Source organism: Homo sapiens, chromosome 7, assembly GCF_000001405.40.
Source record: "Homo sapiens chromosome 7, GRCh38.p14 Primary Assembly".
In the NCBI taxonomy this organism is placed as follows: Eukaryota; Metazoa; Chordata; class Mammalia; order Primates; family Hominidae; genus Homo; species Homo sapiens.
The window spans coordinates 42,517,337-42,528,866 of NC_000007.14; positions in this window are offsets into that span (position 1 = coordinate 42,517,337).

The following is an 11,530-nucleotide window of genomic DNA, read 5'->3' on the forward strand; positions in this document are numbered from 1 at the left end:
TGGGGTGCCATGGGACAGTAGAAGGGGGACACGCAGGCTCTAAGTCTTATAGCAAGCTTCCTTGAGGAAATGACATCCAACACTGAGACCTGAATGAATTCATCGGATAAAGTGTGTGTGTTGTGTGTGTGCGTGTGTGTGTGTGTGAGAGAGAGAGAGAGAAAGAGAGAGAATGCACACACACACGCTTATGGAGAAAGAGATCTCAGACAAATGCAAACTGTTGCAGACAGAGAGAGCGGAATATGCTGGCTTCTGTGGCCAATAGCAGCACGTCACACACCAGCTGTACTGTATTCAGTAGAACTAAAATAGAGAAGGTTTCCAACATGTTTGTTACAGGATAGAGCGGGGGATGAATGTCAAGAAGACTGAAGTAGAAGTCCAACAAAGAGGAGTGGTAGATGGATTTCAGAGATATTGAAGTGGTAGATTGTCAGCATTTTATTGACGATAGTATTTCAGTGGTGAGGGGAAGAATGAATGAAGGACGGCACTCTGAGCTCTGGCATGAGTGAGGGGGTGAAGGGTGGTGCTATTAATATTAACAATGAACACCGGAGGGGGCAAGGTTTTCAGAGTAAGATGACACATTTTGAGTCTGTCATGCCTGAGGAACATCAAGTGGAAAGACCCAGTGGATGGCTAGAAATGTGGCTCTGACTCTGAGGACCCCCCAGGAGAGAAACAGTTTTGAGATTCATTGTCCTACAGAAGAGTGTTTCTCAGCCTTGGCACTGGTAACATTTTGGGACAGATACAGCTTTGTTGTGAGGCTGTCCAGGGCACAGTGGGATGTGCAGCAGCATCCCCGGCCTCTGTCCACTAGGTCCAGTAGCGTGTCCAAGTCATGACAATGAAACATGTCTCCAGACATTGCCAAATGTCCCCAGGGGACAAAATCACCCCCAGGTGAGAGCCACTGACATGGATAGTACCTAATCCATGAGAATGGATGACTATAGAAATGAGAGGAAGAAGGTCTAAGGTTAAAACACTGAAGTACATCATTTAGGGACCAAGAGGAGAAAGAAAACCCCATAAAAGAGTCTGAGGAATGGTCAGAGGAGTAGACAAAAACACAGAAGCAAAGGGAAAACGTGTTTCAGTAAGAAAGATGTGATCACTAAGGGCAAATGCAGCTAAGAGAGCAATAGAAATGAATCCTAAAAGTGGCCCTGAGTTTAGCAGCAAGACTGCCATTGATGGCCAGTGAAAATAATTTTTGTGGAATAGTTGGGCAGAAGCTAGGAGGCAGTGAGGTGAGAAATAAATGAATTTATATTCATTTCTACATTATTTTGTCTGGCCAGACAGGACAGCCCAGCTAGAAGAATGAGAACAATTCAAAAGATCTTGGGTTGCAGATTTGAAGAGAGTTCAAGGAAGTCGAGTGATGAGTAGAAGCTGAGGATGTTGGCAAGAGAGAAATTGAAGTGGAGGACGTGGAATGTAAACTGGATGGTGAAAGAAATGAGTACAAGAGAGAGAATTGATGGATATAGAGAAGGTAGAGAGCTTAGATTCAAAGTCACTATGAGTATGAGGAGTAGGTAAAGTGAGAATTACTGAGGAAAAATTTGGAAGTGCATAAGAACAGTCATTCATCCCAGCTGGGCCTTAATTTCCTTATTTGTAAGGTCAGGGGTTAACCTAGGTGATCCCAATATCCTTTCAGACTTGATTGTTTTAGGTCACAAGGTATAACAGCATCTTTCTGATTCTTATGTGATAGAAATATTAAGGAAATGAGAGATGTGTGTATGAATTTGTCTATGAAAACTTACTAATACCAAATTTTTCTTTGTTGGGCTTCTCTTTGATTTGGGGCCGTCTTGATTTTGACACTGTGAGTTCCCTTTAGGTCTAACCAATTTTGATTTGTTCTTTAGTTTAGAAATAGAAAACTTTGGATATATGAGATAATTTTTGGTGGTTCAGTGGCTTTACTTTGTAGAAAAGTGTAAGTTCTTAAGAAATACAAAGATTAGAGAGCCTTGGTTTTTGTGGCTCTTTCTTCCCTGATAGCATCCTTTTCCTTTGCATTTCTTTCTCTCCCCTAAGATTCTTTCTGATAGATTAGTAATAATAAAGGCTTAAATGATTGTGTCTTGTAGGAAAATGAGTAAACTATAAAACCATGTCAGAAAATATGGGAGGCGCATACTTTTACTTTGCCTTCTGACATCCCAGGCAGACATCACTAATAGATTTCAGATTTCAGCACTCCTTCCTGGAATCTGGACATGTGCTTATAGCCATGATTCTTACCTCAGGCTGGACATCAGAATCCCTTGTGGAGATTTTGAAAAAGTAAAGTTTCTCAGGCTTCATCCTAGATTTATTCAATCAACATCTTGAGTGATTCTGATGTCCTACATCAGAGGAGTGTTTTGTCCTACAGAGGAGTGTTTCTCAGCCTTGGCACTGGTAACATTTTGGGGCAGATACAGTGCTCTGCCTAAGATTGACTTCCTGTGCATGGTTTCAGGCAGATACATTGGAGTTGGTACCTGCGATGAAAGATACATGATCTCAGATGGAGAATAACTGCCATCTCTCACCTTCTGCCCCTTCCCTGTGTTTCTACTTTTCAAAACTGAGCTGCAGTTCCCTTCAAAACATTACACATTCTGAAGTGGAACAAGAGGTAATGGATAAAGAAGCCAGATAAAGACTGTGAGTGGCTCTAGCCAACCCTTCCTCATCTGCTATGAAAGTATTCTTAAAGATAACAGCACCAAAGAGCTAGTGAAAGGATTATTCAACTGAGAGTTGGATATTGATTCATTTATTCCAAAATCTTTTATTAAGGGCTGGCATAATCAAAAGATGGCCTGCCTTTCAGGTTGTAAGTGGAATAGAGGGTGAAAACATGTCTTGAAGCAATTAATTATCTTTTGCTTACATATGCTTCCCCAAAAAGCCTGGTATCCAATAGAACTTTAACTCAAACTTTCGGTTTCCCCAAGTGAGGGATATATGAAGAGTGGTAAAGTCAGCTCATCTTAGGCTGTGTTTCAAGAAGACTTTACCAATGATGTCACATCCGTGATTCTAACAAATAAGCCCTAGGAAAAGTCAGGATGAGCATTTAAGTCCTTCTGGCTCCTTAATTTGTCTTCCCCAGTATGACGTCTTTTTGTTTGTATTAGAATTTTCAGTGCTTGCTGTTAAGAGGTCAGTGTTCATTTATTGATAGGTTTTTAAGTTATACTTATATTGGGTGCTCTTTTATATTATGCTTCAAATCTTTGACTAATGTTTTGCTAAATTGACAAATCGTAAGATCTCATTCTCAGCAAATGTCTCCTCTTAGATAAGGAGTTATTTCATTTCAACGTTTCAACTCTTTTCTGGAAAAAGAAAGATGAAGCATATTTGACAAATGGTTGGCCGACTACTCTACCAGCTGCTTGGGTCAGGGGTGGTGTGGGAACCTCAGTGGAGAGGAGACAAGAGGAAGTGTAATGGACTGGGACTGGAAACTCCCCATCTCCACTTCCCCTATGGAAGCTCTGGTTTGCATTGTATCTACTAATATTTCAAATAAAATGTGAAAAAAAGTTTGCCCTCCTTAAAACATTTGGAAAATAAATGAAACAAAAATACTGAAGTCGTGAAACTCAACAGACAATATCCAAAAACAAAGGTTTCCAACTTCAGCTGCATCAGAAGCACTGCAGGCCTTGTTAAAACACAGGTCCCTGGGCTGTACCTCTAGATTTCCTAATTCTGTAGGTCTGGGGTGAAGCCCAGGGATGTGTATTTTAACCAGTTCCTAGGTGAGGTCATGATGCTGCTAGTTCTGCAACTACACCTTGAGAACCACTTCCCTAGAAATACACAGGTGTAGACTGTATCAATCTTAGACACCTGTTGTTTCAATAAGAGATGTCTTTTCGTACCATCTGAGATCTTTGTATGCTAAGACATAATTTTAGCCCTGCCAAACACAAGTTGTTTACATTTTTTAAATTAGATGCTGCCGTGTTCTTATATCAGAAGATTTCACACATAAATCTGGATTTCCAGCTTCTTTAGAAAAATCAGAATAACTGACATTGCTGGGCATCTTTGCCACCTGGCAGCCATCTGCTGGAGACAGAAAGCTGCTGCCTCCTTTAGACAGGCACGTCCTCCCCTCCCTTCGGCCTCTCCCTCCAGCTTCCTTCATGCTCAAGAAATCAGACACGCTCAAACTCAAATCTGAAAGCCTATTGGAAGTATGTTTGGGTTACACAACTAATCATTTAGGATTATCACTCCCTTGCTGCGTTGACTTGAAAGGCCTCCTTTGCTATAGCACTTAGAATGGAGATCATTTCCTACTGTTTGCTATCTATTGCTAATAGGGTATATTAAAGTGTTAAATATGGATATATGAGAAGGAAATCAAGCTTCTTGTAAATTTACATAAAATATATTATTCTAGACCTCTACCTTGGCTTAGAAGCCTTAACTAATACCCAATGGAATACTTCACTCAGCTTTAAAAGAAATTTCACCGACTTCTACTCATCTGCCAATGCTGGCTACTTTCTGAGTTTATATAAAAAATAAATCTGTAGCATGATGGCTGGAAACACAAACACATTTAAATTCTCAGACTCTTTGGAGAGTCTATTGCTGCCTTTGACTCTGTGATGTTTCTTGATTCTTTGGAACAAAGTCCCAGCCTTCGTCTCTTTCAAAGGAGGGATTTGCACTAAAACCAATATTCCTAGCCCATGCTCATCAGGGTCAGAGGCTGCCTTTTCCACTAAGATGCCTCAATATTCACAATCATTTCACAACTTAATTGGGTCGGTTTCCCTAAATTCAAACGCAGAAAGTCCCATAGAACTTGCTTTGCTTAACAAAGAAGGCTTTCTTTCCCAAACCCCTCTGGCTTTGGTGACTTGGAAAATCTTATTAGCCAGATGAAAAAAAAAAAAAAATTCCACCACCAACTCCGGTACTCAAATGGCTATTTGGAGGCTTGTGAGGAGCAAGAACCCAATTAAGCAGCTCAGCTGCACAGGCCTGAGTGTAGCGTGGCAGACCCGGGGCGCCCTAGCACGCCCCCTTTGACTCTGCCTGGCTGAGCTTCCTTTAAGCTCTCTGTCAGAGTGGTATGGTTCTGAGTGGTTCATTTCGCAACCACAAGGCACTAGCGGAGGGTGAAGCTAATGCAGGCTTCGGGTAGTCGGATCAGGGAGCTATGACTCTGATATCTAAACAGGGATTTGGTTGGAGCAGAGGCAGGCTTAAAACAACTTTCTCATAACAAAATAGAATGGCTAAACGGAGCTGCAAAAGCATTTTCTCTGACCCTTTTGTCCTTAGTTTCAAAAGGAGCAAATATGTTCTACTTTCTTCGCTTGACCTCTTATCTAAGAAAAAATAACCCTTAACCCCCACGAATAGTGCTGACAAATCTTTTCTAGGTCTGGTGGTGTGTTTGAAAGAAATGAAGCCCAGGTGGTGGCTGAATCGGCGGAGGTGCCTCTGTCCAGAGAAGCCACGAGAGCCAGGAGGCATTTCCTGAGTAGAGGAAAACAGCTACACACACGAAGGACCCGGAATATTGAACCCCAAGGTTCGACAGACTGAGGACAGAGGATAGCCAATTAAAATGATCGATTCCCAAGTGATTCTTACATGACAGTATAATCTTTAAAAACATAGCAAGCTATTTTAGAAGCAGGACCACACAATAATTTGTTAAAACTGAAGTTTTGTGAAAGTAAGAGTTTCAATAAACTTGATTAAAATCAAGGTCCATTTCTCATCCACATTGAGTTTCTCAGCCAAATCGAAAATGAGCAATGTAAATACTAGTTATTTTATAACTTGTAGATTTGGAGAGATCCCAATTTTTATAATTTTTGAGTCTAATTATCCATTTTATTTCCATTTATTATGTGCTTTTTAAAAGTTCTGTCCTGAGTGAACTCATAAATAATTTCCATGTATGTATTCTGTCTTCTGACTTGAACTTTTAGCATCTATTAGATGTCAAATAAACTATTAGGCGCTCTGAGACAAAACTGGTCTTTTGGGGGTGGGTATTTTGTTTTGTTTTGTTTAATCCTCAAAGGGATTACAATTTATTTAGGGAAAATGAGTCTAAACTTGGAACTATTAAGAAAATGTACAGGCCGATAGAATTTCCTCTTACATTTTAACGTAGTTCAAGGCTCTATCCTTGGCCTTTTTGTTTACTCATTTACCCACTCTCTTTGGAGAATCTCACATGTACCCATGGATGTCTCCTATATCACTGTCTCCATCCCCAAATTTCCTTTCGACATACAAATGTTTATTTTGAATTCCCTCCAGGAAATCACACCTGGGTTTTCCACAAATAGTTCAAACTCAACATTTTCCAATCTTTCTGGTCATTTTCCCCACAAACCTGTTCCTACTCAGGTACCACTTATCATCACGATGGCATTGCATGCACCCAGCTGACCTAGAAGAGATGAGAATTATTCTAGACTCCTGCTTCTTCCCCGTTTCCAGATAATCACCAAATATAGTCAATTAAACTACTAGCTCTATGAATTTCCTCTCTGTTCTTACCAAGCTTATTTTAGTCCCTTAGCAGCTCTGCTTGCATGCACACCAGTGGGTTAAATTACCATCTAAATACTAAGACTTCTCAAATCTTTACTTCCAGTCCAGATCTCATCCCTGAGCTCTATTTATATATTCAAAGTATTAGTCTCCTATTTTTGGACATGTCACAGATAATTTCTGGCAGAGGCTGCTAATTGTCTACACGATATTCCTAACTATTAAGACCTCAGCTTTGGTCAAGGTGACAATATTTTCAAAATACTTTCTTAGATTCCTTTTCAGGAAAGGGGATGATAACCAGTACTGGCTAAAGAAATGTAAGTGAAATTCATTTGATGGAACTTCTGAAAACATTTATTTATTTATTTATTTATTTATTTATTTTGAGACAGGTTCTTGCTCTTTTGCCTAGGCTGGAGTATAGTGGCTCAATCATGGCTCACTGCAGCCTCAGACTCCTGGGCTCCAGTGATCCTCCCACCTCAACCTCCCAAAGCTCTGGGATTATAAGTGTGAGCCACTGCACCTGGCTATTTTTTAAAAATTTTGCGTAGATATGGAGTTTTGCTATGTTGCCCAGGCTGGCCTTGAAATCCTCAAGCAATCCTTCTGCCTTGGCCTCCCAAAGCTCTGGGATAAGGGGTGTGAGCCACCATGCTGGCCACTGAAAAGAATTTATGAAGGACAAACTTGGTTGGATGCATCTCAGTCCTTTGCTGTGTGACATCTTTACTCTTCCCCCTTCTTTCTGTCTATAACCAGTCTGTGGGATGTACACAATTTGTGACATCATTAAAGTAAAATGACAATTTTTGTCTCTCATTGCCCCTATAAAATTTGTCAATGGGGCCAGCTTCTCCTACATTTTATTTCTCAATGAATGGCATCATGATTTACCCAATTATTTAATATCTATAACTTGTTCATCACTGTTTGATTTCTCTTTCTTTCCCATCTCAGGAGTATAATCAGTTCACAAGTTCTGTTACTTCTTCTTCCCAAATGGCTTTTGAATTATTCCAGCCTCCCCTATTTCCACTGCCTCCTCCCAAGTACAGTCAATGCTCACCTCTTACCTAGATGACAGCCACACACCCCAAGCTGCGATCCTTGCTTCCAGTTCTTCCCACTTCAATCCCATGGCTGTTCTACAGCCAATGGAAATTTTCCTAACCTGTCATTCAGATCAAGCCACTCACCTGCTTAAAATCCTACAATGACTTCTCACGGCCTGCAGGCTAAGCCTGAAAATCTGTACAAATTTTCCAAGACCCTTCATGATTTGAGAGAGCAGAGAAAGGAGACAGGCTTTGGGCTTTTTTGATGGGTAGAGTATGGGGCCAGGGCAAGCGTTCCAGTGTGTGGGCAGGGACTTGCATGGTTCAAACCTCCTGCCAGCATCAAAGGAGGGAGCACTCAGGCTTTCTCACTGGATTGCTCAGATGTGGGGAGAAAGGGGAAGAGGGAGGGGTGAAGCTTACAAGCCATCAGCAGCTGAACAAAAAATAATGGAGTCAGACTCTTTATCACACGGAATTAATGGTGAACTCCAAACATGGGTCAAGGCAACTACTGACTCAGTGCTACTGTCTGCAATAGTTCTATGAATAATTTCCACTAGCTGCAAATATATTGGGTTTTATCTTAGTACTTCAGGAGAATAGGTTTAGGAAAAAAATGTTTTACATACAAAGTGGTTAGTAGGACAGAAGATGAGAGATGGAAAGAGAGAGGAGGGTACAGAAAGAATTTCCACAAAAGTTGAATTTGCAAACTAAAATTTGGAAGTCAGACAACTATGCTATATCTTCCTAGTGCTCACAAGGATTTTTGCTTCTCCTTTCTTTTGGTCATCTTCTCCTTAGATTGAGACATGACCACGTGAGCAGAAATGACTTTCACACTTAAAAGGCTATGAGAGATGCTCAATGTTTTGTTTCCCTTTCATGACGAACACCAAAGATACGTATTGAGATGGCAATATCATATGACAGTTGAGTGTTCCTAAACCTGACGTTGAAGTGATTACAGGGGGCAGAGTTCCCCTGCTGAGATATACAAAAGAGAAAAAAAGAAACCATTTTTTTTTTGTTTTAAACAAAATAATTGGAGTTGTTTTATATTCCAGTATTCAAAGTAAAGGATGATAGATCCATGGTAATCACTGGCCCATAGCAATTCTGAAATTCCTCTGTCAGATAGAGTGAAGGCTGACCACAGTGGAATGTGGGGATTCCTTGATGAGACCCAGAATCTGCTTCCTGGGAGGAACTACTTTATCGATAGTTCTCCATGGGTCCTTCTTCCACCTTTAGGGAGACTTCTGCCTTTTCAAGACTTTTTGTTTTGTTTTGTTTTGTTTTGTTTTTTTAACTGTATCTAGGTGAGGATTGTGTAGCATGCCCTCCTTAGAAGATGTGTAAACCTTGAAGCTGCCTCCTATTTATGGGAGATTGGAAGAGGGAGGAGACAGGGACAAGGGTTAATATAAAACTCAAACAGTAAAAGGCATTCCTAATCTAGTCCTATGGTATACTTGACAATCCAGTTCCCTCAAAAATTTAGAAAAGTTCTGACCTGTTTGCATCTGGTCAGTTTCACATGCTAATAACCATACCTACCATTTTTTTTGTAAGGGGAGGGGGATGGAGTCTCACTCTGTTGCCCAGGCTGCAGTGCAGTGGCATGATCTTGGATCACTGCAACCTCTGCCTCCTGAATTCAAGCGATTCTCCTGCCTCAGCCTCCTGAGTAGCTGGGATTACAGGCGTCCACCACCATGCCCAGCTAATTTTTGTATTTTTGTAGAGACGGGGTTTTACCATGTTAGCTAGGCTGGTCTTGAACTCCGGACCTCAGGTGATCCACCCGCCTCGGCCTCCCAAAGTTCTGGGATTACAGGTGTGAGCCACTGTGCCCAGCCCACACCTACCATTTTTTAGGACATAGTCCTCAAATCCACTTTATGTCTTTGCTCTATCAACTCCACACTTCTCCCACAGATGTTTGCAACCCATGGATCAGGATGTCCCCTTGAGTGCCCACATCACCAGGGCCTTGGGTCTGATACACAGAGCTGTGTGGAGTCTCAGCAAAGCAGCTGCTCAGGCACACACAGAGACCAAGGATTACATACTCCAGGCCTGGGATCCCCAGCAAGAAGGGAGATCGGACCATACATATCCCTAGGAAGGGGGCTGAATCCAGGGAGCCAGGCAGCATTGTTCCGCAGGGCTCACTTCCAGAGCACTTCACAAGTTAAGACACACTTGCTTGGAATTCCTGTCAGCCAATGGCAACAGGCTGGAGTCTGCCTGATATGGAATGGAATTCCAGGGGGAGGGGCAGCTGCCATCTCTGCAGTTTGGTCAACTTAGCTTTTCCAGCCTGCTGGTTTTAGAGAGTCCAAATGGTACAGACAAGGAAGGGTCCCCTCCAGTGCAGCATAGCTGCTTTGCCAGATCATGACCAGACTGCTTCTTTAAGCAGGCTCCTGATCTATTCCTCTTCATTGGGTGGGACTACCCTATGGGGGCTTCAGCCACTCCAGCCAGGGTTCTACAGACAGAGCTCTCATCTCTCCCTGGGATGGAGCTCCTGGGGGAAGAGGCAGCTGGCACTTCTGTGGTTCAGTTGACTCAGATGTTCCAGCCTGTTGGTGCTGGAGAATACAAATGATCTAGACAAGGAAGGGTCCCTCACAATGCATCTGCCTTATCAGATTGTGGTGAGACTGCTTCTTTAAGTGGAACCCCAGTCCGTTCCTACTCACTGAGCAGGACCTCCTTGCAGGGGCTTCAGCCACTCCAGCCAGGGTTCTATGGACAAAGCTCTGATCTCTCCCTGGGATGGAGCTCCTGGGAGAAGGGGTGGCCACCATCTCTGTCATTCTGTAGACTCAGCCATTCCAGCCTGCTGGCTTTGGAGAATACAAATGGTCCAGATGAGAAATAGTCCCCTACAATGCAGCAAACCTGCTCTACCAAAATGCAGCCAGACTGCTTATTTAAGCAGGTCCCTGATCCCATTTCTCCTGACTGGGTGAGACCTACCAACAGGGGTCTCCAGCCCCCTTCCACAGACATGTTCAGGCCTGCCAGTTCAGGTCAGTAACTCATGGGATGGAGCTTCAAGAGGAAGGAGCAGGCTGTCATCTTTGCTGTTTCACAGACTTCACTGATGACACCTCCAGGTATGGGAAAAACTTAGGCAACTATGGTCTACAGCGGACCCCCAGAAAACCAGAGCAGCCCTACAGAAGAGTGGCTTGACTATTAAAAGAAAAATAAAATAAACAGAAAACAACAACATCAACAAAAAAGACCCCACAAAAACCCCCATTCAAAGGTTAGCAACCTTAAAAATCGAAGGTAGATAAGGCCACATAGATGAGAAAGAATCAATGCAAAAATGCTAAAAACTCAAAAGCCAGAGTGCCTCTTCTCCTCCAAATGACCTCAACACTTCTCCAGCAAGGGCACAGAACTGGGCTGAGGCTGAGATGGCTGTACTGACAGAAGTAGGCTTCAGAAGGTGGGTAATAATAAACTTCACTAAGCTAAAGGAGCATGTTGTAACCCAATACAAAGAAGCAAAGAATTACCATAAAACAATACAGGAGCTGATAGCAAGAATAGCCAGTTTAGAGAGGAGCATAAAACTGACCTGATGGAGCTGAAAAAGACAACATGAGAACTCCACAATGCAATCACAAGTATCAATAGCAGAATAGACCAAGAAGAGGAAAGAATCTCAGATCTTAAAGACTATCTGTCTGAAATAAGACAGGCAGACAAGAATAGAGAAAAAAGAATGAGAAAGAATGAACAAAACCTCTGACAAATATGAGATTATGTAAAGAGACTAAACCTACAACTGATTGGGGTACCCAAAAAAGATGAGGAGGATAGAACCAAATGGGAAAACGTATATCAGGATATCATCCAGGAAATCTTCTCCAATCTAG